This window comes from Homo sapiens, chromosome 15 (genome assembly GCF_000001405.40).
Source record: "Homo sapiens chromosome 15, GRCh38.p14 Primary Assembly".
NCBI classification, from domain to species: Eukaryota; Metazoa; Chordata; class Mammalia; order Primates; family Hominidae; genus Homo; species Homo sapiens.
Window position 1 is genome coordinate 48258276 of NC_000015.10, and position 27339 is coordinate 48285614.

The 27339-nt window shown below is 38.2% G+C and overlaps 1 protein-coding gene across 3 annotated transcripts in view, besides 1 other annotated feature; it reads left to right on the top strand.

The window, feature by feature from the left end:
- SLC12A1 (solute carrier family 12 member 1) overlaps positions 1-27339 on the top strand; it is a 97777-nt gene that overhangs the window by 51974 nt on the left and 18464 nt on the right. For all 3 annotated transcript variants that reach the window (NM_001384136.1, NM_000338.3, NM_001184832.2), the window contains exons 17-21: positions 925-1036; positions 9286-9426; positions 11383-11489; positions 16296-16378; positions 26831-26974. In NM_001384136.1, the coding sequence (NP_001371065.1) occupies positions 925-1036; positions 9286-9426; positions 11383-11489; positions 16296-16378; positions 26831-26974 (587 nt within the window). The remainder of the gene's footprint in view (positions 1-924; positions 1037-9285; positions 9427-11382; positions 11490-16295; positions 16379-26830; positions 26975-27339) is intronic.
- Positions 7863-8063: a silencer, noted in NCBI's record as "peak2328 fragment used in MPRA reporter construct". NCBI's record gives its function as "represses an SCP1 promoter by STARR-seq MPRAs in K562 erythroleukemia cells {active_cell/tissue: K562}" and the evidence as "EXISTENCE:reporter gene assay evidence [ECO:0000049][PMID:32103011]".

Sequence of the window (27339 nt, forward strand, 5' to 3'; positions counted from 1 at the left end):
GCGTGAACCCGGGAGGCGGAGCTTGCAGTGAGCCGAGATCCCGCCACTGCACTCCAGCCTGGGCGACAGAGCGAGACTCCGTCTCAAAAAAAAAAAAAAAAAAAAAAAAAAGAGTGACCTTTACTCCAGTTCCCAAGGAGTTCTTCATCTCCATCTGAGACCACCTCAGCCTGAACTTTATTGTCCATATCACTATCAGCATTTTGGTCAAAGCCATTCAATGAGTCTCTATGAAATTCCAAACTTTTACGCATCTTCCTTTCTTCTGAGCCCTCCAAGTCTCTAGGAAGTTCCAAACTTTCCCACATTTTTCTGTCTTCTTCTGGGCCCTCCAAACTGTTCCAGCCTCTGCCTGTTATATCCAGTTCCAAAGTCACTTTCACATTTTTGGGTATCTTTACAGCAGCACCCCACTCTACCAGTACGAATTTTAGTCCATTTTCATGATGCTATGAAGAAATATCCAAGACTGGGTAATTTTTCAAGAAAAAGAGATTTAATAGACTCACAGTTCCACATGGCTGAGGAGGCCTCACAATCATGGTGGAGGGTGAATGAGAACAGCATGGGAACATCTGTCCCCATGATTCAATTACCTCCCACTGGGTCCCTCTCACAATACGTGGCAATTATGGAAGCTACAATTCAAGATGAGATTTGGGTGGGAACACAGCCAAACCATATCAGGACCATAAGACCACTTTTTCCTTACTTCACACTTTTGCTAGGACTAACTGAACTGAGAACACAAACATGTCAAGACAGGCAGGATGATTCAAGAATACTGGTGCGAAACCCAAAAAATAGATAGGGGAGAGGTTGCCCCATTTTTCCAAGCCTCTGTACCTGTCATCCCACTGGAATGGTTCTAAGGTTACAGGCTTCTTGCAGGGGCTCATTTTCACATCTTTTTTTTACTTCCAGGCCCCAGTGCATTGTCTTAACAGGGGGACCCATGACAAGACCTGCTCTCCTGGACATAACTCACGCCTTTACCAAGAACAGTGGCCTTTGCATCTGCTGTGAAGTCTTTGTGGTAAGAGCCACTTCACCCCAGGGAAGTCCTTTTTCCTCCCTGCTTATCTTGGATTATTTTGGGTGAGGAGAAAAGGTACATGCAGTGACAGGAAAATAGCAAAAAAACAGTTTATAGGAGAGCCCTCTACCTTGATTCATAGAGCAAGGACAAGCAAGAGCCCGTGATCCTGAATTTAAACAGGTAGATGTAAAGCGTTTCAGATTTCATAAGAGACCAACTAAAAGTGACAAATATTTCCAAATGATGGCCTTTGAGTCAAGAAAAAGATAGCTGGCTCAGAAATAAAATGAAGGCATTTGGGGTGATAACTGTCTACAGAAATATAAAAAGATGGAATGAGCCAAATAGAGCACTATTATAGAGATTAACTGATGAGGAAAGAACCAGACATAATGGCCTTAAATGACAGCACATAGAATTTAGATTAAATATTTGGATAAGTTTGATGACATTGCAGATACTCTAAAAACTAAACCAAGTTTTTCATGCCTTAGATAAACATTCAGAGCTAAATGAATTATTTTTGCCCAGGAAATACATGGTAGACTAATAATAACTTATTGGTGAGTTTCCTAAGAGGTATTCAAAACTGGTGCTAGTAATTTAATCATAACTGTTGACCAATTTCTCAAGTGTGGAGAAAGCATTAAAATAATAATAAAATAATAAGCCAAAGGGTGCAGTGGCTCATGCCTGTAATCCCAGCGCTTTGGGAGGCCAAGGTGGGCGGATCACCTGAGGTCAGGAGTTCGAGACCATGACGATCATGGCAAAACCCTCTCTCTACTAAAAATACAAAAATTAGCCAGGCATGGTGATGCATGCCTGTAATCCCAGCTACTCAGGAGGCTGAGGCAGGAGAATCGCTTGAACCTGGGAGGTGGAGGTTATGGTGAGTCAAGATCACACCACTGCATTCCAGCCTGGGCTACAGAGCAAGACTCCATAATAATAATAATAATAATAATAATAAAGTCTAAGTCCTCCACACTAGCCCACCTCTACTTGTATTCCCTCTCTCTCTCTCTCTCTATCACACACACACACACACACACACACACACACACACCACTGAAAATTCTCAGCTATCAATGCATTTTTATAGTACTTAAGTACTTACGTATTCTTCAAACCATTTTTCTTCAAAGCATTTTTCTACAGTTTTTCTTATTGGAGCCACACAATAGCCTAGTGAAGCAGGAAAGAAAAGTAGCCCTGTTCCCATTTTAGTGATTGGGAAAGTGAGATTCAGGAAAATTAAATTATTGCACTGGATCACATGACAAGAAAGTGGCAGAGCCAAGATATCAGTCCAGGCCACACAAGTGTGCTAAGTGTCACGCCTTGAGGAGAAAGCCTTAGCACACTTGCATCCTTGGGAGTACTATTGAAATCCAGCACCACTACTTAAATCTCCAATACCTGCCAAGGAATAGGGCTGTCAGGAAGTCAGGTGACTTTAGAACCAGTCAACTCTGCCATGATGCTGGGGGCTAATTTACCACATGTCATCATGATCAGCACTTAAGCATTTCTTTACACTTGGCAATATTCTAAATGCTTTATGAAGCAGTTGTTCATATTCTCTTTCCTCTCAGTGCTTATATGACAGTAATTCAAACAATATAACTTAATGCAATTATCTGGTAGGAGATGGAGAGACTCCTACTGAGTACTTGTGAGATTGACAGGTTAAGTAATGACCAACTGTGACTCCAGAGAATTTTTTAAAATCTTATCAAGCACCCCTCTCTCATATTATCAACTCTGGTGCCCTGGATTGGTGGATTTCATTTTGGCCAATATAATATAGGAGCCAGTTTTGATGAAATAAGCAGTTTGGGGTGTTTTTCTTCTCCAGCAATTTAGAGAAAACTAAGTTTAGCAGGCAATAAAATATCTTTAGGACTGAAGAAATAAACTGGGAGTATAAACAGTCATCTATTGGCAAAGGAGAAAGGGTCGCCTCAGAAACAAAAGAGATTGCTTTTAATTAACCATTTGCTGCTTTAACTATAATACAGGAGGATAGTGCTGGAATATCATTTCATTTGAAGTAGGCACCTCAGTCTGTGCCACCAATGGCCCTGTTTGTTTGACACATATGTTGGGCTGCATTATACATTACTATACTGGTCTCTCCATGCAGGGCCCAAGAGTCCTGCTCCAAGGTGCCAAGGTTCTCTTGGGGACAGAAAATAGTTACTGCATCAGTTAATGACTTTCCAGTTAGTTACTTTGTATGAGCTCCTGGGGCTGCAGATGTTGACAGCATTTTTAGACTCTAGGCTCAGTCGTCAATCATCTTTGCAAAGAAACAGATGGAAGGGGATATAGGGGGAGTAAGTATGCCATTAGAAATTTTTTTCCAAAAGGACAATGGTTGATGGTTAGGCCAACCTTGTGGAAAATGTTAAATAGTGATGATAATAAGAGAAAGACAATTTAGTTTTTAAGTCTAGAAAGATGGTGCTCATGGGCTTTTGAGAATAACAGTCAAGTTTCAAATCATTATTTTGCCACCTATTAGCCGTGAGTCCCTTAGGCACATAATTTCATCTCTCTGTGCCTTAATTTTCTCAGTTGTAAAATGAAAATAATGAAAATAGCACCTATGTTATAGAGTTGCTATTTGAATTATAGAAGATAAGCTTTCTAATGCTGAGTATGGTGTCCCTCAAAGAGTAAATGCTCAATTAACTTTCATTGTTATTGTGATATTGTTATTGTCAATATCATTATTTTTGGTATGCTATAGTTGCCATTTTTATTCCAGAAATATATTACCTTCAATAAAAACCTAAAGCATGCCTTCTTAGAAAAATGAGGTCCAGACACTGGATTTTGAACTTTTTAAGTGTGCAGCAGTTTGATCATGATGTAACAGTGAGATATGTGCTTCCACCCACTAATCACAAGACAGCAGGCTCTGGGCTCCATCCTTCTGGTGGCCTGCAGCTATTGAAGTACTTGCTTTAAGTGCTGTTACATTACCAGAAAGGAGCAAGACGTAGAACTCATTGGCATTTTGATGTGGGTGGGTAGAGGGAAAATGTGTGGCCACAGCTGTCATTTCCTGCAACTGCAGCATGGTAAATCATTATTTGATTTGAAATTAATTTCAAATAATCATTATTTGAAATTAAGAGAGCTGTACTCTTTGCTGGGCCCCAAGCACCCGCTGTGGCCTTCCAACTATCCAGCTAACTCTTAACACTCTCCGCAGGCCTCTTCCTCTCTCTTGCTTTTTTACTATTCAGCTTAAAGATTTCAAGTGAGCAACTCTTCATCAGGGTAAATTTGGGGACCCATTCTAAAGAATCCAGCTCAGTAATTTAAAAAATACTGTCTATTCTTCTCTTTTGAACTAACAAAATAAATAAATGACATATTTCTATCCCAATAGGCTTTATATTAAATATGTGGGTCATTTGTTCTTTTGTACCTATCATTTTTATCACCATAGGAAGACAGAGGGAGGAAAACTCCACCTTGTAGCATCCCCCTCATATTTCTAAGCATAGCCAAGTTCAACAGGTTCAGCAAAAGGTAAGTTATTAGTTAAAAGTTGCAAGTTGCATCCTCCACCAGTTTTACCCTATGTATCCTGACACATATAAGCACTGCCTTTGTCAATGAGTTTCCTCACTTATGTCATTCATAGTAGATGCAGAGATATCCAAACCAATCATCCCAGATAACTTAATTTGAATTTATGTACCTGTAATTCTCTGGGCACACTATGTTCAGTTCTAGAAGTCTTATGGGATCAGTTGACACTTACCTTTCCCAGGTGCAAAGGCATCATACTGCAGCAGTTCCTTATTCATATACTTCTCAATTTTACATTTAAAAATAGGAATTTTTTTATTAAAATGAATAAACAGATATACATTTAAGGATCAAAAGTTAATTGAATTGAAAGTCGATTCCATTGACCTGGGATTTGGAACACAAATCAGATAAAGTCATTATTGTCCAAAAACACGCCACTTACCTCTTTTCTCAATTTTGCTTGTCTTACCTTGCAAAAGGCTTTCAGGTTTACAGTGGCATCTTTTATCAAGTACATTATGTTGTGCTGGTGGCTGAAGAAATAAGAATTTTTTAAAAAGATTGATTCTGTTTTTAAATTTTGAAACACTAAAAAAATTAATTAGGTTGAATCATATAAAATTTGCATTTTTATAGATCAAAATCGTTTGATACTGGCAGTTTCATATGGCTCACTATATAAAATTAAATGAGACCTTTAATTTATATTCTACTTTTCCTAATTAATGACTGTTAACATTTTGGGCCAGATGCAGTGAGTCCCTGCCTAAAAAAAGAAAAAAAATTGGTTATAGAAGCTTCTACTCACTTTATTTTTATTTATTTATTTATTTATTTATTTGAGACAGAGTCTCCCTCTGTCACTTAAGCTGGAGTACAATGGCGCAATCATAGCTCACTGCAGCCTTGAGCTCCCAGGCTCAAGCAATCCTCCCACCTCAGCCTTCCCAGTGTCCGGGACTACAGGCATGTGCCACCACACCCAGCTAATTTTTGTATTTTTTGTAGAGACAGGGTTTTGCCATGTTGCCCAGGCTGGTCTCCAACTCCTGGGCTCAAGCGATTTGCCCTCCTCGACCTCCCAAAGTCCATTATAGGTATGAGCCATTGCACTCGGCCCTCCACTCACTTTTTAAATGAAATAAGCCATTACAGATCAAGTTAAAGCCCCTTTTAATACCACTCCAGACCCCTGGTTCTCTCTGTTCCCAGAGGCAATGTTATCTGAATTTTATGGGTATTCTTCTCATCATTTCACACACGGATACCAAAATGTAAATCTATTTTCATTCATGTTTTTCTTATTCATTAATGTTACTTTAAACCTGATTGTCCTCTCCTGTAAAGGAGGAAAGGGATGGACTTTGACCGGCTCTTAGACTTTTACCCTGTTTCTTTTTCTCGTTTTTTTTCTAAAAAATTATAAAATATCTTAAGAAAACCTAAGGCTCTCTTTGAATTCTCTGTTTGAGGAGTTCTCAATAAATCTCACAGAAGACACCTACCTCTTAACTCTTGAACTGCATAAGGAAGGCAGTTCAAGCCCTTATAACCCAGGGAAAACTAAATTCTCATTTCTTCTTCTATCTTTCAGCCTCCTCTTAATCTCAAATTTCACATCCACCAAGGAAAAAATGTATTCTTTCTAGATGCATCTTATTTTTTTTATCAGTGAGCCTCTGTTATGATGTTAATAAAATAGTGACATGACCAAATATTGAAAGAATGAAATGACCTATGAATGGGCACTAGCATGTATGGTAAGATAATATGGACCAAATCAGAAAGGGAAAAATTTTCTTTCCCACAATTCCAACCAAAGCATCCATGAAAACAAAGACAGACTAATAAGACTTTCAATGTTAAAAAAAAGAAAAAAGTTGGAAGGAATACTGCACTTGGTGAATTCCTCTGTTTGATCCGAATGGGGTTGGAACCCCTTTACAAACTCTTTTTCATGATAGTCACGTATTTAAAGTAACATCACATCAACTTCTCCACACTACATAATTAGAAATGCTTTACCCCTTTCTCAATTAATATCAAAGTTATAATATATACAAGATTTTTAAAGCTTCTTTGTTTGAATCCTGAATTAATTTATATACTCATATTTTGGATCCCAACTGAAGCTAATCTCTATAATATTATAATGGGGTAGTAAAATTCATTTTTGTAACTATGGCATATTTGAATGTTGAATAATTGTATTCCAGTATGTCTTTTCTCTTTGCTAGTTTGCTTTATTCTTACCACATTTGTATTGCAGCCTTCCTTGCTTCACATTAATAAGTGTGCTACAATGATGTTATAATCGTTTTTAGCAAAGAGAGATTCTGCATGAAACATTTTTATGACTTCTCAATATGGCAAGTTTAGGCATTAAAGTAAATCTCTCTGTCACAATTAATGTTTAATCTGGATTTTTATAATACTAACAGACATACATTAGACTGTGTTTATTTAAATAAATGCCATTCTCCCCAGGGGTTCACAGTCACTGTGGTACAACTCACTACACTGATGGTTCAAAGTATTTCCTGTTTGTTATTCTTCTATCTAATGGCTGCTGTAACCACTGAACTTCCTTGAATAAAATATTCTTTCTTTTTTTTGCAGTTGATGAAGTTTAGAATGCTCAAAGAAGGACTAGTGATTCAAAATGCATTGACAATCTGGAAACCTGAGCTAAATTGATCCATAATGGCATATCTTTCCTTAGACTAGGTCATCTAGTTTAGTAACTACCCTGCCAATCTCTCTATCTTTTCTATCTTCATGGAAGTTTCTTGTTTTTAAATTTTCCTTTAATGGGAAGTCAACCAAACTGTTTTGAAAAGTTGGCAGGTTCTAGGAAATATGCTGGAAAAAATAAGAATATAAAGAGTCTGATCCAATTTAAATAGAATATTAAAATGGAAGGGACCCCAGAGATTGAATGTTGTGTAATAGAAATATATTATGTGCCATATATGTAATTTAAAATTTTCTAGTAGCCAATTAAAAAGGAAAAAGAAATAGGTAAAGTTATTTTTAATAATATTGTATTAACCCAGTGTGTCCAAAATATTGTAATTTCAATATAGAATCAATACAGAAACATTAATGAGATATTTTACATTCTTTTTTGTAGTAGGACTTTGAAATCCAGTGTGTAGTTTATGCATCCAGCATATCTCAATGTGAACCAGCCACATTTCAAATGTTCAATAGCAGCATGGACATACAGGCTATCATATTGGGCAGTGATGACCTAGGCAATTGCCTGAGTTTTATCAATGTAGAACATACCTCAAGAGAGGACAAATGGCAGACCCAGGGTGTCAGCCAGTCAGTGCCAGATCTCAACCCAACATTCTGACTCACAGTTCAGTGTTCCTGCAAGCACAGTGGTAAAATCACATCCGGGGCTTTGATGACATTGCACTAGGTACTTTATTATTACTACTTAAAGCAACCTTGCACGAGCAAGAGTTTATCCTCATTTTAAGGATAAGATACAAAAGCTCAGAGATAAGGAATTACCTCCTCAGGCTTAGATCTGAGACCTGTTTTGTCTGACCGCAAAGCCTGGGCTTTTTTTTTTTTTTCATGCATCCCAATGTCCTTTCTCTCCAATCTAAGACCCTTTAAGACCGTGACTCCAAGTGTGGTCTGTCTAAGGAGCAGCAGCATCTGTTGCCTCCAGGAGCTTGTTAGAAATGCAAAATATTGAGCCCTGCTTCAATACCCACAAGGCTGCATTTTATCAAGATCCCAAGTGATTCATGTAAAATCTAAGCCATCTCAACAAAATACAAATCTCTCTATAAATTAAAAGAATTTCCTGGGAAAATGGATTTGTACCCTGTCAGACATATGGCAGATAATCAGAAATAACTTTTGGATTGAATTACATCATGAGAAGAAAAGAACTAGCTTGGACATTTAAGGAAGGAGAAATAAAAATAGAATTTTTCATTAAAAATGTGTTTCCAGAACTAAATCTTGAAATTATAAAATGCCTTATCAACCATCACAACACCTGTCTTCTTCCCTCTTAATCTCTTCCACTCTTCTTAGGTCATAGGTACGTAAACCTTTGTTCCCACCAAATTCATTGAATGACAAGGAAATGTTAATGTATTTGAATGGAAGTGTGGCAACATTACACAGGGAAAAGTGGTATAAGGGTATTTTTGCCACACGAAAAAGCAACGCATCAGCCAAATAGAATTGACAAGATGTGCAGTTCATGGCAGGATTTGCAGGTCACCATGTTCTACCTCCCATGGAGCTCTGTCCATTTCTTGAAATTAGGCTCCAGCTGAGATTTCTTTCGTGTTCCTGAAAGTGGCTCTCGCTAATGAGTCAAAGGTTGATTGTGTATTTATCCTAAGCCTCTTCAGTCACATTTTCAGTATTTTCCTTGTGTCATGTTGCCCTCAACTCTTCCTTTCATTCAGTGTCAGGCAGTAAATTAAGCAGATGTTAATCAGTCTAGATGTTTTGGGTAGAAAATGAATGGTGTGAATACCGCAGGTCATCTCCAAAAGGCTGAATCTGTGGAACCCTGTTCAGTGAGGTGTTTTTCCCTCTTTCCCATTTCTTAACTCAATGGGGCATTGCTGGCTATTTTTGTCCTTTAGAAAACAACAGCAATGTGATATATAATAGCAGGGTTCTAACCAATATTTCATTGTGTCACACAGGGACCGCGCAAACTGTGTGTTAAGGAGATGAACAGTGGCATGGCGAAAAAACAGGCCTGGCTTATAAAGAACAAAATCAAGGCTTTTTATGCTGCAGTGGCGGCAGACTGTTTCAGGGATGGTGTCCGAAGTCTTCTTCAGGTAAGGCTGCATTGAGGGAATGAGCACAGAGGCAAAAGACAATTAGTGCTCCATGTTAATAAGGCTCCCAAAGTGAACAGCTGTAGTTAGGCAGCCAAGCATCAGAGATCAGTGCAGATGGTTAAGGGATTATTTTGAATTCCTGGGTATAGGCAAAGCTAGAACAAAAGCAGAGAAGTTCTATTACAATGAACTATGAATGATACACTGGAAACGGAAAATGAGGTTGCCTTTGGCCACCAGCATACATTCTGCCCCCGTACTTATTGAAATGCAAATTTGTTCTGGTGGTTGACGACATTCAGGATCCTATTGAAACTTCAAACTATTTTTATATCTCATACTGCATATAGCAATGCTCAAGTCAGGCATTCTTTTCCTTTTTTCTTTTGCAAATGGTGTTAGGGCAGCTGCTAGACCAACTAAATTAATGCATGGTGATCTGGGCATAAAATCTCCCTATCCTCCTGAATTATTTCCAGAATGTTGAATAAAATGTAATAATCTCTACAGCTCAACCTTAAATCCCATAGTTCTCACATCTTTTTTCCCTTATTTTTTCCTTTTTCCTTCATCTCTGCTATAGTAAGTACATAAAATCTTTTCCTAGTTCTGATCGTCATAATTTAGAGTGACAAAGAATCCTTAAAACAATCCAAGAGACCCTCAGAAATTGTAGAGCTTGGCTTTCCGAGCATTTTGGGTTTAATATGGTTGAAAACCCTAATTATATATATATGAAATGGTGCATTTGGCTTTCAGAGTTACTGTATTTCAGAGTGTCAGAAGTCAGAACTGCATCCAGGTAACTCAGATGCGCATGCAGGCAGGAAAGAAAAAATATTGGTTAAGCTTAATTGGTAATATTTTGGAGCTTAAGAGTATTTGATGCAATCCTGTGCCTAATTTCCCTTAAGAACACTTGCGAAGTAGATGCACGTACAGAGAAACAATTTCTGCAAAACCTATTACCCACAATGAGCCTCTTTTCATCTGTTATTAATTTGCTAAACCATGGAAATAGGTGTTATTGCAAGATGCTGATTTTTCTTTCAGTACCAAGTTAGTTTTCAATAGCTCTTTGGTTAAATATGTTGTCACTATTAGTCATTTATTATAAAATTATCATACAAGATTTTAAAATAATATTTTCAACTAGGAATGGGAATATGGACATAAAATAAGAGCAGGGAAAGAAAAGACACAAGTATGAAAAAGAATTATTAGAATCCAGAAGAAATGGTAGAAAATTTGAACATGCATACATTCATATGAATTTCTTCACATAAAAAGTGAAGTACAGGAGAACCATGGCAAAAGGACAAGACATAGCACTATGCAATTCATAGGTGCTTAGTAATATTGTTGAATTAAATTTGATTAACTGGAAGCTGTATGCTGTCATCTAATGAAGGGAAACAACACTTCTGATATGGAAGATGGCTATTAATGATACTGTCACATAAAAGAATTAGGTTTTGGAAACATAATTCAGTCACTCTTCAATAAATAACATAAGTAGAGATTTTAGTGATCCTTGTACATAAGAATTTTCCAAACATGGATTTTATTGCTAATGACATTATGGATATAACAGGTGGAATTGAGCTTTGAACCACTAAGTTACAACATGCATACCAACAGTTAAGCTGACCCTCACTTGATTTTAAATTATTGAACCATTTTAATGACTGTGTCAGAAGAAATGCAAATGACTGCTAATTTAGAAAAGCTACATTTCTGTCATCTAAAATCCATTTATAGCTGGGATGATTTAGAATTAATCTTTCCATTTTATGCTTGGGTACGGGCATGAAGGACATGCACTAAAATGTAATCTAATCTTCAGGATCTTCAGAACATTACTTCAGTGCTCCTTTAGACATTATTTTTCATTTGTGATGGTAGTTTCCCAGTACGGTAAGGATTGCCCACATTTTTATGTCCTCTGTTTAGGCCTCAGGCTTAGGAAGAATGAAACCAAACACTCTGGTGATTGGATATAAGAAAAACTGGAGGAAAGCTCCCTTGACAGAGATTGAGAACTACGTGGGAATCATACAGTAAGTGATGGCTTTCAAGACGTGTTCTTGTTTATAAAGCACTAAGCAGGGCAGTACATAACTTGTACTGCACATAACACTGTTGTGTCAGATTAAATTGCCTGAGAAGAGTACATTCCCCTGGTACTCTGACTTCTTTTCCAAGGTGAAAAAAACACCACCAATAATAGAGTTTGAGGGAATCAGAGTGTCAGAGGAGGCAGGGTGAGAGAAACGCCCGTGTCAGAGAAAAAAGTAAATGTTTAGAGTTACAACCTTAAAATCTATTTACAAGATTAAAAGGAAAGCACAGCTAAGCAAGGAGAAATTTTTCTTTCAAAACACCTGGAATCTTGGGTTGGCTGGTGTCTCCAATTCAGTCATTGTCTTCTTCTGAGCCTCTGATAATTCGTTCACTATCCCAGAGCCCTATATCTCCCTCTGCTAAGAGGCTCCCATATGCCAGGTGCTTCTGCTACCAGGTGGAGCATCATTGGCTTGTGCACAGAATGTGAGTTTCCGGTGGTACATAACCTCTAATAGCTAAATATTTGAGGAGACTTAGGATGTAAGTAATAATGATAGATCTTAAAGGACTAGCAGGCTGCAGGCTAATGTCTTTAACATGTATTATCTCATTTAATTCTCATAAGAAGATTTCGAAGGAAGTACTAATATTTTTTCCCATTCTACAAGTGGAGAAAAAGACATTAAAAATTAAGTAGCATGCTGAAAAATCTCAGCATTTAGTGACAGAGCTGGAATTCCAACCCAGGACTATCCAAATTCAAAGTTGAAACTCATGACTATAACGCTATGCTTTCTCTATATATTATATACTCCAAAACAAGTATTATATATTTTATACTATATATATTATATATTACATACTCCAAAGTATTTCATATATATATTATATACTCCAAGTATATATATATTATTTATATATATACACATACACACAATTGTGGAGTATATAATATATAATACTTATGTGTGTATGTGTGTATATATATATATATATATATATATATATATATATACACACACACACACATAATACTTGGAGTATATAATATGTAATATTTGGAGTATACATATATACTTCAAGTATTACCTGGCTTGGTTTCTTCCTTTGAATAAGAGAAAACAAATTCTACACATACAGAGAGAAACACTGTAGAAAGTTGAGCCTTTCAACCAGGCATGGTGGCTCACCCCTGTAATCCCAGCATTTTGGGAGGCCGAGGCGGGTGGATTACCTGAGGTCAGGAGTTCCAGACCAGCCTGGCCAACATGGTGAAACCCCGTCTCTACTAAAAATACAAAAATTAGCTGGGCATGGTGGTGGGCGCCTACTTGGGAGGCTGAGGCAGGAGAATTACTTGAACCTGGGAGGTGAAGGTTGCAGTGAGCTGAGATTGCGCCACTGCACTCCAGCCTGGGCAACAAGATTAAAACTCTGCCTCAAGAAAAAAAAGAAAAGAAAGTTGAGCATTTCTTCTAGGCTTGAAAATACTTAATCAGACTCCAGAGCGGCAATGTTAGCTATGCCCAAAAGCCATCTTTTGTGTCAACATCTCTGGAAATGGAAGGTTTCCTGTGTCTGGGATCTGGCTGCACTTTGATTTCAGACTACAGGGTACATGACATACCCTGAGAGATACAGCTGCACTTCAAAGTTCATCCTATCCAAGGAAAACAAGTATACGCTTAACACTTCTTAAAGCAGGCTATTTCTTCTACCCCTTGTTATTATAATCATAACATTTATCATTATATTTATGCAACATATTAACAAAAGTACTCTTAGTTCTACTGAAAGGAAGCATAAGAAAATAACTTTTATCTTCTGAATGTACAGGCATTACTGAACAAACAGAAATTCACTCAACAGTCTTTCTAATGTGAGGAACCTATATATTAAGTGCATTGTGTTTCCCAAACATATAAAGCCTGGGGCCACGTACTGTCATCTGGCTCCTGCTGGTGTTATAAGTTCAGTAAGTTAAGGCTAAACCAGGTGATCGGGATCAGAATTTTACCAGCCTCAGCAAACAGTATTTTGATATATTTAGAATCATAGTCAGTTGCTGATCAGACATTCTTGGAAATTGACCAGATCTGTCCTCTGTTACCCAGATTCTTCAGTAAAATTTCATCTTCACCTTGGGGAACAAAAGGGATGGAGGAGGGGAAAAAGAGCAAATAGGAAGTAACGTGTAAATCTTCAATGAAATAGTCCATTATTTGATATAGAATTACCTTGGACTGTCTTCCAACCTCTCTACCATCCCAAACATTCTAGAAATCCAAAGGGAGCAAAATAATCAAACCCAGTAATACTGAACCAAGGAGGCCTCTGGCTTTTATGACAAATTAATAATAGATCTCCTTGGTAATAAAGTTCAATATTAGGGTGACCCAGATTTGTACTAGTATAAAACCTAGCTGGACTGGTAAAGTTAAATGACTTTTCTAGCACAGCAATGGGGCTAATAATGACAATCATGTATCCATATTACATTTCCCTTTCCAATTTTTGTGGCTTTATGACTTAAATCACAGTATTATTGTTAACACAGGGCTATTATTATAAGACTATAGTATTTTACCATTTTTCTTTGAATAAAAGATTTTAAATGTCTGTAATATTCTTAAGTATGGTTTAGTTTTTTGTTTGTTTGTTTGTTTGTTTTTTAAGACAGAGTCTCGCTCTGTTGCCCAGGCTGAAGTGCAGTGGCACAATCTTGGCTCACTGCAACCTCCAGCTCCCAGGTTCAAGCGACTCTCCTGTCTCAGCCTACCAAGTAACCAGGACTACAGGTGCACACCACCATGCCCAGCTAATTTTTATATTTTTTAGTAGAGATGGGGTTTCACCATGTTGGCCAGGTTAGTCTTGAACTCCTGACCTCAGGTGATCCACCGCCTTGGCCTCCCAGAGTGTTTGGATTACAGACATGAGCCATCTTGCCCAGCCAAGTATGGTTTAATTTTAATTAGAATTTGTATATATTAGTTTTCAATGGCTGCCAATAACAAATTACCTCAAAATTTAGTGGCTTAAAACAATACTTTAGGCTGGGCGCAGTGGCTCATGCCTATAATCCCAGCACTTTGGGAGGCCAAGGTGGGCAGATCACTTGAGGTCTCGAGTTTGAGACGAACCTGGTCAAGATGATGAAACCCAACCTCTACTAAAAATACAAAAATTAGCCTGGCGTGGTGGTGCACACCTGTAATTCCAGCTACTCAGCAGGTTGAGGCAGAATTGCTTGAACCTGGGAGACGGAGGTTGCAGTGAGCCAATATCACACCACTGTGCTCCAGCCTGGGTGGCAGAGTCAGACTGTCAAAAAAAAAAAAAAAAAAAACCTACACTTGATTATCTTACAGTTCTGTCGATTAGTCTGGCACGTGTGGGCCAGGCTGCATTCCCTTCCGGAGGCTCTAGGATAAATTTCTGACCTTGCCTTTTCCAGCTTCCAGAAGCTCCCCTCATGTGGGTGTGGCTCAGGAATGCCTTTCTCAATCTTCAAAGCCAGCGATGGCTGGTCAAGTTCCTCTCACACCACATTACTGTGACCTCCTTTTATGCCTCCTAATTTCACTTTTAAGTACTCTTGTGATTACTCTTGTCCCATCCAGGTAATCTAGGATAATCTCCCCATCTCAAAGTCCTTAACCTAATCACATCTGCCAAGTCCCTTTTGCCATGTAAGGAAGTACACTCACAGGTTCCAGGAATTAGGATACTTTGAGGGTGCATTATTCTACCTAACATAGAATCCAAATTTTTTTGTGGAGCACATTGTCTACTTTTTATAATTGAGGACAATCAGAAACAAGATTTGTTTATGAGGAATTTACTTTGTGACAGCTTGTGCCAGAATAGAACTATTCTGTTAAGTAAAGATTACTTATGGTTTGGATTTTGAGTGGATATTCATATTGCACCAAACTTATGTATACCAAATGAAAATTCAGACTTACCTAGGCCATTGGAAACCGTTTGCATATGGTGGGACAATTGTTTCTGGGGTAGGATGACCTAATGGCAAGAAGTCATTAAGTTTTAGATCCATAGAAGTATAAACAAAGGACCTCCCAATGAAAAAAATTTAAATGACTCAAAGTATTAATTGACTTGCTTCCATATTTAGCACCAGAGAAAACATTTATCTCTTAAACTTTAATCTCTTCAAACAGAGATAAAAGAAAGACAGACTTTATTTCTCTTCTAGGTAATTTAATTCCTTTGGGTTGAATACAGAGAAAACACAAGAGCCAGTATGTAGAGTTGCCATGAAAAAGCATTGCTCCAAATGACCGGTTTAGAGTCAATTCTGAAAATTCTATAGAGGAACTGGAGAAATTTCTAACCATGAACTTGATGTCAGAAATGTTACAGGAGTCCTTCTGGGAGGCGGCCAGGTTGGGGGTGGTGGCTAATCATTTCAAAGAGTCTTTGCAGTCTGTAAACTCTCTGTTCTAAATATACCAGTGATTGTTTTGCTCACTGTATAAAAGATTCGATTATTTTTAAAAGATGCAACAAGCTCTTAATCAAAATTCTGATTTATAGTATTATTTGAACAAATTGGCTAAAGTGAATAATTTAGTTACCTCTACCCAAAATATACTTTAAAAACGCATAGGGGAAGAACAAACAAACAAACAAATGCATCAGCTCTTGGCTATATTCTAAGGTGGATTTTAATAGTTTCATTATATCAAAATCCTAGAAGCAAGTGTAATACTAGTCCAAAGCTTGAGGATTAAAAGAGCCATTTAAAACGCTGACTGCTTTGCTTCCTCTTTCAGTGATGCATTTGATTTTGAGATTGGCGTGGTTATAGTCAGAATCAGCCAAGGATTTGACATCTCTCAGGTTCTTCAGGTGCAAGGTATGTACTTTCTTTATTCAACCAACAAGTATTTATTGAGCACCTACTTTGTGCCTGACATTGTTATGGGATACAGCAGGGCACAATATAGACAAAACTCCTTGACAGTGGAGCTTACATTCTAGTGCTACTCGTAGTGCATATAGTTCCCCCAGTATTTTCTTCAATGCTAAGACAAGTAGCCTTTGCCCTGCTAACCAGAAATATAGAGGAATTCAAGGTAGTCATCAATTATTTTTCTTATCACAAAACCACAAAGCCAGCATCAAGGAAAATAAACACCTTCGGTAAAATAACCTGCCAAATTAATTTCTGCAAGATGTCTCAGAAAATGAAGATTAATTCTTTCCTTGGAAAAACACGTATTTTGCTTTTGAGAGTCTATGAACTGGTTTGTAGCTAACATGGAAATGAGCCTGAATGTATCATGCTGTGAATCACTAATCTAAGTCAGAGGCAGAAACACTAATTCAGATGAGTGACTCTTTGTTTTTTCCCTGTAGAGAATTTGGTATATTTGCTTAGTCTTAGAATTTAAACATACTCTTTTGTGTATGAAATAAAGAACATATTGATATACTTACTGAAAAATTAGCACAAGACATGAATTCATGATTTCCCTCTTCCGCTGAGCTTCACGACAGAGTCCACTTACAACACAACATTAAGAAAAAACAATGCTTTTCTGGTGCCTGTTATGTACCAGGCATAGTGTAGGTGCAAGTGGTGCTGGGTAGACCAAGATTAATAAATTCTGTCGTGCCCTCAAGAGACACACAACCTAGTAAGGGAAGTAGATCAATTATTAGCATTATAATAGGTATAAATAAGGAATTATGGGAAAGAAAGAAGGGGCACCTAACTCACTCCAAAAAGGCATTCTGGCAAAAATTACCTTTGATTTGCGATGCACTGGATGAGTAGGAGTTAACCAGACAAAGTTGAGGGAGAGAAAAGTAAGGAGACAGTTTGGAGAATGCATTCCTGACAAAGAGGAAAGCATTTGTAAAGGTGAGGACATGAGAATAGAGAGGAATGGAATATGTAGACAACCAAAAGCAGATTCATGTTACTGAATTGAAAAGTAGGAAGCCGACAATAGTAAAATATGGGGCTGCCACTATAAGGAGGATCTAGACTGTAAAAGCCTCATTTGTCATATTAAAAAGATGGATCACATTCTGTAGGTAATGAGGAACCATCAGAGAGATTCAAATGAGGGAATAAGGTGGTCAAACTTGGGTTTTAGATATCATGCTCTTTCGGTTATATGGGGCATGGACTCAGGACTAGAATGGAAATAGATAAATCAAAGAGTTCTACAATAATCAAACAAGACAAGGTGACAGCTTGAACTAGGGCAGCCTCAGTAGGGATGGAGAGAAAAGAACAGAATTGAAAAGTATTTTGCAGGTACAAAGAGCAGCGTTTGGGAGTTGATTGAATGTGTGGGATATGGGAAAGGGAGGAGTAAAGAAAAACTCCCTGGCTGACTGGATGAGCCAATGGAAATGGGAAATGCAAGAGGAAGTATAGGTTTAATGAGGAGATGCCTGGCTCAATTTCAAACAATCTCCTCTGGGAAATCCTACGGGAAATGTCTAATAGGCAGTTAGACAGTCCTCATCATAAAAGAGAAATCTGAGCTGGAAATACAGATTTAGGAGATGTTATGGGCTGAACTGTGTCTCCCCCACCAAATTCATATGTTGAAGTGCTAACCCCCAGGACCTCGGAATGTGACTGTATTTGGAGACAGGGTCTTTAAAGAGGTAATTAAGGTAAAATTAGGTTATTTGGGTGGGCCCTAATCCAATATTACTGATGTCCTTATAAGAAGAGATTAGGATACAGACTGAGGGGTGATCATGTGAAGACATGGTGAGAAGGCAGCTATCTTCAAGCCAAGGAATGAGGCCTCAGAATAAAATCAATCCTACCGATGCCTTGACCTTGGACTTCCGGCCTCCAGAATTGTGAGGAAATAAATTTTTATTGCTTATGACACCCTGTCTGTGACACTTGTTATGGCAGCCTGGGCGGACTAATACAGGAGACATCATGGCTAATGTGGATTGAAACCACCACCCTAGAAAATAGAACTCAAAGACTGCATGTAGCCAAGGACTCGAAAGTGTAGGAAAAAGGCCCCAAAGAAGAGAAGGAGAAGTCAGAAAGGTGAAGAAACCAGAAGTCTGGGGTCAGGTAAACCATGGGAGTACAGTGCTCAAAATGGGGAGAATAATCAACATTGCCAAATGCAGCAGAAATGTACAGTAAGATCATGAATCAAATGGAATTGGCATGACATAGGTAATCTTAGTGAGAGCAATTTCTGTAAAGCAGGGTTATCAGAATCGAGATTGCAGTGGGTTGAGGAGAGACTATCAGATGAACAAGCAGAGAATATGGATGTAGCCAACCCTTCTGAGAAGCTTGGATGGTAACAAGAGGAATGAGATTGAGCAGGCTTACTGTGGGGAAACTATAGATCTCTGGGAGATCAAATCATGTTTCCAGACTGAGGAAATGGCACAAGAGAGTGAAAAAATTGAAGACGTAGGCAAAGAAAGGGGCGACCCACGGAGTAAGATCCAGGAGGAACAGAAAATTGAGGGAAAGGCATGAATGGAAGAGTTGGCCTGAAACATAAAAAAATTAAAAAATTTTTAAAAATTAAAAAAAAACCACTTCATCTAAAATTGGAGCAAAGGAGGTGAGGATTGATGATGGGATATGTGGATTTGTGAGAGTAGAGTGGTAAATTGAAGAAGATGATGCACAATAGTCTCAATTCTTTCTATTAAGCTGGAGCAATGGTTTACTTCTAAAAGCAAGAGAGGAATGGTTTAACTGAGAATGAGAAGAAACTAGTAAGCATTTTAAAAAGTCATGATGGAGAATGAAAAAGATCAGCAAGAACTGATCAGTGTACAACAGTGAAAACCCAGTTGTGGTTGTCCAGTTTTCTCTGGCAGCATGAAGTCTCCAAGGTACAGGAGCGGCATCAGGGTATTTCTGAGAGTAGGTTCAGCAGACAGAAAAAAGAATTCTTAAGGGCTATTGCCTGATCGATTCATACTCTATTTGCTGGTTCATTATTGTCTACATCAAAACAGGAAAGAATATGAGTGGATTAGGTGAATTTTCTGATGCAACCATTCTGGTATGTTGTAGGAGAAGAGGAGGACGAAGAAAAAAACTAGAGATCAAGTGTTTGTATAAGACAGAGAGCTACTATCTGATTATGTATACTCTATGATAATGAAGCATTAAAAAATAAAACAGCGAGGAGAGTGCATCCTATGCAAAATTGTAGCACAAAAGGTTATCTCTTGGTGCCTTTAGCCTTCCTTTTTATGCCCCTTTTCTTCTTTATGGACATTTTAAATCTCCAGATCAGAAATACTAACTCCCACTCAGTGAGTATTCACTATTAATGTATATTCCCTCCTAGTAGAACTTAATACTTTAGTAGCAACATAGTTAAAATATTTGAGCACTTACGTGAACCCGGGAGGCGGAGCTTGCAGTGAGCCGAGATCGCGCCACTGCACTCCAGCCTGGGCGAAAGAGCGAGACTCCGTCTCAACAACAACAAAAAATATTTGAGCACTTATTATGTGCCATCTATTATGCTTCTTGTTCACACATAGCATTTATCATCCCAGCTACCCTATGAGGAGAGTATTATCATTGTCCCCATTTTACAACTGGTAAAATGGGGGCTTACCCAAGATTCACAAGGCTAGTCATTGGTACAGCTGGGATTCAAACCTGTATCTGTTTGAAAGCCCCTATTTTATCTTTGAAAAAGAGGAGCTAGAGAGGATGGTGACATATAAAGAGAGGCAATGGTGAAATCTGAGCTCTGGGAATGAGGCAAAGCTGTTTCTATGTGTTCCTTAAGACACCCAACAAGGGGGCTGCCTGTCTATGGTAACATAGACCTGACTTTGAGGGCAATTACAAGAACTTAGTATTAAGAGAACTGTTCTGTTGCGAACTTCCTAGGTTTTACTTTAATTTTTTTCTCCTGGCTTTTGTGCTGTAATGTTTTCCATCTAAAAATGAGAATGCAAAATATAACTTGTATTTAGATTACACATTTGCTTTGTGTGTTATGTTGATCTCTTCAAGCTGAAAGATGTGATGTAGCTGAAAAGCATTGCTCCCACCCCTCATTGTTCCATCTGCCAAGATGCACCATCAATTTACTTCTATAAAGCAATACAGCAACCAAGTTTTGCAATATTTCTCAAATAATCCTGGCAGTGAACTGCATCCCCTTTTAATTTCCCAAGGGTTGTATCCTATTTAAATAAACTTTGATGTTTGAAATATTTCTGCTTCTTAGTCAAGAAAGGGAAAATGCAATTGGATGCTAATAAAATAATTACAAGTACCAACTATCTAGGGTAAACAAAGAAAAACAATGTTACACAAATACATGAAGAACACGCAGAAAAACAACATGATAGAAATTAACTTTCCGCCACATTTCCATGCATTGTTTTGAGGTTTATGTAATTTACGACACAAACCTCTTATTAGATTTTGAATTGGAAGAAATAAACTTGCATTTCATTATATTATGCTGTAATTCAGGGCCTAATAAGGGCCTAATAAATCTTAAGTATTGCATTATACTATGTTAATGATTGTCATCATAGCTTTTCCAACACAGGCACCACAGTGTCATCACAGATTATAATTTAAAGGAAATATTAGCAATTCAGAGTGCCCATATACTGTAGTTAATAAAGCAGTGAATAGAAATCAGCTTTATAGATAATTTACCAGCTAACGACAATTATTTTTATATTGTATCACAGGCTTATGTGAGAATAACTTTTAATATAAATAAGATCGATGCTCATAACATTGTAACTTGTATACTGTAGCAACTCATCCAATACTGATGACTGATAGTTTCTCTTAATAAATTATTGCCTGACAACACACACAAAAAAAGCCATGATATTTCATACTGCTCACTTCCCAGAGGAATTTAGCAAGTTTTCCAACTACAACAAGGAGTCAAAATTGTACTGGTAAGAAATAAAGTGATGGAACATGATTTGCCATATATTGTGGTCAAGTATTCCATGTAAGTACAGCATGATTTGTGAACATCTCAGAGCACGGGGATACTGCTGTGTCTGATCAAGTGGCTTAGCAAAATAAAGACAGATGGCAGTGTAGTAAATAATTACTTGATTAGAAGGCAACCACTGCAGGATTGCTTCCTGCCTTCAATTCAACTAGACTTCACCTGGGGTACAGCACATTGATTCATATGAGCATTTACAGCTTTGAGTTGATTGACCAAGGAAAGAATTACAACTTAAAATTAATAAAGAAAAAGGATGCTGTAAAATGGGAAGGGATTCCATTCCCCAGTGGGTTTCCCTGCTCTCCCTTCTGGTGTCAGATAATTAACGACTCTCTATCCTTAAGATTCAAAGCAGATTGTAATTTGTAGGGCCTCTGCCTATTTCTAAAAGATATCTTAAAAAAAAAAAAAAAAAGACTGGGGACATAACATTTGAAGCAATCTTGACAAGTAAATTGAGTTTCAAAAAATAATCACTCCAACTGGGTACCATATAATCGATTTATAAAGCACTTGAAAATACAGTAACTACTATTCAAAGTACTTTTGGCATTTACATGACAGTATGGCTCAAGAGTCACTCTTAGTTATTACTGTGAAAACTGTTTGGGATGTGGATGACAAAATTGATTAGAAACCTGCCCTCAACTGAGAGAACCTACAGGTCTAAGCTTTTTCTTCCACCGTCATAACTTCAGGTTGAGGTTATAAACATCTTGAAAAGAGAGAAGGGCAGGCATGCTCTCTATATCCCTATTTCCATATCTCGATCTCTATCTATCTATCTCTATCTCTATCTCTCAGTAGCAATGTGGCCTTATAAACTATGACATACTACAGAATTATCTAATGTATTCAAGTTCCCAGTAGGTACCATTAAAGGATTTCCAGGTGGTGGTCTTTTCCAGGGAAAAGTCCCCTCTCCTTCCCCACTTGCCTCTCATGCTTCCATTTCCCAGGCTCTTATCTCACTGGTCCCACCTTCTGTCCTCTATCTGCCCCTTTTTTATATAACTTTGTATACGGTATTAACTGCACTTCTTTCAAACATTGTCTTTTGTACTTACCACACACACACATACACACACACACACTTCTCACACCCCCATTCTTCACAACTCTGCACTTGTTTTTCTTCTTTTATAAAGACAGTACTTTCAAAACTATTGAACTGAATTGAACAGCATTGATCTGTTCTTTAATTTATTTCAACATACAATTCTTGAGTGCCTGTTGGTGCAAACATGGGTCCAGGTAATAAACGGGAGGGGTGGCAGCATGAAGAACATGGGAGGGATAACATGAGGTCCAAGCATAGCGTTTGGAATAGACAGACCTGGGTTTGGATCCCAAATTTGACATCTTTTGTCTGTGTGATGTTGGTCAAGTTACCCATCCTCTCTGTGTTTCACTTTTTGCATTTTCCAATGGGAATAATTATAGTACCTACGTCACAGATTTGTTGTTTTGGATTAAAGAATTTGATGGCTGCAAAGTGTTTGGCATTGTACTTGGCATACAGTAAACTCTCAATAAATGTTGGTGATGAAAAATGGCGTAAGTTCTGCCCTCCAGGAGTCTGGAGTCCATTGTGAATAAGATAGACATCCAAGTCACACAGTTATAGTAGTTAGTGGAATAAAGGTTTAAGCAAGGTATTACGGAAATACAGAGGAGATTGATTCTGATTGAGAAATTTGGGGATGGTTTTTGAAAACATGCAGACTGGGTGTTCCTTCAACAGGCAGCTATTGCGATCAAGGCATATCACTGAAGGAGAAGAGAGAAGAGGGATAAACACTAGAATTGGGAGCAGAAGACTTGGGTCACTAGCTGTGCTACCTTGGACAAATCACTTGAACTTTCTGAGCCCAAGTTTCCTTTTTGGTAAAATGGGGAGAATAATACCAGCTCTGCATGCATCCCAGTATTCGTATCAAATGAGATACTATGTAGAAAGGGCTTTGTAATTTCTGAAAATTAAAAATGTAGTCGTGATGGTGGTGATGATAGAAAAAGTAATTTTTATTGTCAGGCTAGTGGAAATCAACTTATATCCATTCGTTCATACTCTCTTGGCTGGCTCCCCTTGTGGCTAATGGTATGCCTTTGCAAGTCATCTGGCCAGTATTTCTGTTGACAAAAATGTTTAGACAAAGTCTACTCTTAATTTCCCTGCATGCAAACAGAGGCAAGCAGTACACCAGATAGATCATTCAGAAGAACAGATAATCAAAACATCACTTCTGTTTAGTGTTGAAATGCGAAAAGGAAGGAGTGCACAGAAGGAGGCCTTAGATCACCTACCAAGTGAATAATTAAGAATTAACTTGAATAAGAACTTGCGAAAATCACTATGCAAATGGGAATCACACCATGGTATGGATCTGAAAATCCAAGATGGCAAAGCAAGCTGATTTTAGCCTTTAGAATAAATACTCTCTGTAATCTTCTGTCTCTATCATCTTTGAGGAAACTGCTACATCTAAAGCATTCGAGCAAAATTTGATTTTGTCTCTCAGGCCTGCAATTTTGCAGCTTGCTCTGTTCTGGATGGGCTGTGCACATACCTTCAAGCAATTGTTGGAATCGCTCCCAGTTCACTCAGCCCGCTGACTCCATTACAAAAGAGGATTTATCTTTCTTTCCCTCTTTGTCCAAACTAGAGGACAAAGAGCATGGCAACCAGTGGCTAATCATAGGGCGCACTGGAGCCTGCCCAAAAAAAAAGAAAAGAGAAGAATCCCCTCCCAGGGCAGCCCTTACAGTTGCCACATCAGAGGACTGCAAAGAGCAGGTTACCCCATAAGTGGCCCCTGCAATACCCCAGAAGACAAAATAACAGCTAGGATGCCGTCATCCAGGACAGTGACAACAAAGTCTGGGTACCAGTGCTGCTGCTCTAGTGCAGCCTTCCATATAGAACCGTATCTTTAGGGTCCTCCTTTTAAAATGACATGTTGGATGGGCCATCATTTTGGGGGATTAACTTAGCCCATTACACCATATGCCTGAGAGTGTTTAGGTTTATCTGATGATAAAGCATAGGAAGGTAATAAAACAACTCTGAAATAGTAATAATAATAAGCCACAGGAGGAAGGTCTTCATGGTGGGAAGCATATGCAGATCTCTTTGCATATGAACCCTGTAACTTGCTGGGTGATATCAGGCAACTCACTTAACCTATTAGTTTCTTCATCTACAAAATGAAGATGATAATAGTAGTAACTATCTCAGAGTTGTTTAGAAAGGAATAAAATGCAACACAGTCCCTGGCACCCAAAGAGTGTGCAATAAATAGCAATTGCTAAAATAACTCCCAGGCATCTCAAAATACTCAATTTGTTTTGCATGACTAGGCCCATTTCCAAAAGTTGCATAAATATACTGCCTATAGAATGCCATTCTTGCTCTGTTTTTTAAGGACCTCCAAAACACTATGCAGAAACTTTGTTTATTCTTTTTGCAAAGCTTGGGGGGTGGGAAAAGGAAAGGGTTACAGTTTTCCATTTCACAGACGGGAAATCCGAGGCATAGAAAAAGTAAATTACTTGCCTAATGTCACATAAAGCCAGCAGCAGAGCTGTAATTGGTTGTGACCCCCCAGTGCAATGCAGCTTGTCTTCTCCTTTCAAAAGTCAGGGGTAAGCAACTTCTGTCTCAGCTTTAATACCATCAGTCTAATTTCTCAGATTTTCTATAGCTGCTGATCTTGAGAACCTTTGAAGCTTTGGGGAAATCACATGGGTGATTTGACCTTAAATCTCATGCCACTCGCAAAAGATTAATTGCTAAGACCTGGAAAGGGGCCAGACAATTCTGTGTAGCTGAATAGCAGCATCGTCTAGGGATGTGACTGTCCTGACAGATTTAGTTAGTACATAATTGATAAATCTAGAGTTTGTATAGCTTCGCTTCACAGATAGATAACGCAATGGGCTCCAAGGGTTGACATTTACAGAAGCTCTCCCAGTGTTTTGTAACACTGAATCTAGGTTTTCTATCCTCTTCCTCTGAGCATTGCTCATTTTCTAAGGCTCTGTTCTCAGCAGGCAATAAGATGAGGGCATCTGACAAGAGTGCCACCTCACCCAGTATAAGCAAGAAGCAAGAAGCCTCCTAAGTGTAGCACTGTCATATGACTGCTTTGAAAGTCTTATTTACCCTGATTCAGTGCAGGGTGAGGTCAAAGAGAGATCCAGCACATTACATAGCAGCTAGGAAATTTTCGTCACAATCGGAATCCAAAAAAGATAAAAGGCAGCCAGATACAACATCAAAGCTTGGATAGTGTGTCTCAACCTTGGGCAGGAAATTTTGCACTGCTTGACTCCTGTTCCAGACTAAAACATGTCACAAGACCCCTTTTAGCAATTTGAACTCTGACAGGCACCCAGAAACCTCAGCTTTTATTTCTTTGACTTTGGTCACCCACTCCACAAAGTTATTTTGCTTATTGAAAGGAATTGGTGGTGGATATTTTCCATTGTAATTTGTATCCAGAGCCTATAGAGTTTATTGTAAGATTTTGTTATCTTTTCTTAATTCTTGCTGTCTAGTTTTATGTTTCAATTCATGAAGCATTGTTGTGTGGCTGATATATACTCAGTGTACTTCTGTAATTTTGTCACTTCCAGTTGTAAAACATCTGACCCACTAGCTTAGGTCAGTAAATCAGTGGCTTACAGTGTGAAAGATTTTCTGTTTGTTTGTTTTTGCATGGTAGTGAATAAGGGTGGCATTAAATAGCCTCTCTTGCCCTCACAAATAAAAATGCTGTAACTTCATGTATCATAACTTAACACATAGAGCTGTTTTTCTAAGCTAGTTGTGACAACTTTCTGAATACAATTTACTAAGATACATTACTTTTTCTCTTTTCTTTTGGAGACACGATCTCACTCTATTGCCCAGGCTGCAGTGCAGTGGCATGATCATGGCTCACTGCAGCCTCTACCTCCCAGGCTCAGGTGATCCTCTCACCTCGGCCTCCCAAGTAGCTGGCACTACACACCACACCCAGCTGATTTTTGTATCGTTCATAGAGATGGAGTTTCACCATGTTGCCAAGTCTGGTTTCAAACTCCTGGGCTCAAACGATACACCCATCTTGGCTTCCCAAAGTGCTGAGATTACAGGCATGAGCTACCTCACCCAACCAAAATATATTACTTGTATTAGAAGATAATATATAAAAATCATTTAGAAAAAATTACTATGTATAAACAATTATTTTATCACATACATACCATTTTAAATATTAAAAGTTTATAAGATTGTTTCTAGAAACTTTGTAGTTCTGAGTTAAGTAGGTGATTTTGTCTTCTTTCATCAGAGGAATTAGAGAGATTAGAACAGGAGAGACTAGCATTGGAAGCGACTATCAAAGATAATGAGTGTGAAGAGGAAAGTGGAGGCATCCGAGGCTTGTTTAAAAAAGCTGGCAAGTTGAACATTACTAAGACAACGCCTAAAAAAGGTAAGAACTTTTTAAAATTTGCAAAAAAGTTTACAAGATGAGTCACTATTTGAGCATCTATGAAGAGTCCGAAGTCAGCATCTAAGATGTTGGGAGCATTGAGTGTGGGTAGGAACTGAAAGGTTTCTCTCCAGAAGGTAGTATGGATAAACGGTAGCAGCTATTGTCATTTATCAACCTCATTAAGTACTTTGTACCATCTTACTGTCAAAAATTATTTTTTAAATGTAATATTTGGTTTGGAAGTCAAATAGTGCTTAAGCAGATTGCATGCCATAAAACAGAAGTTTCTCAGTTAAGATGGAAAGGGGATAGAAATTTAAGAGCCAATACCCAAACTGTCTTATCCACAGACACCCTTACCT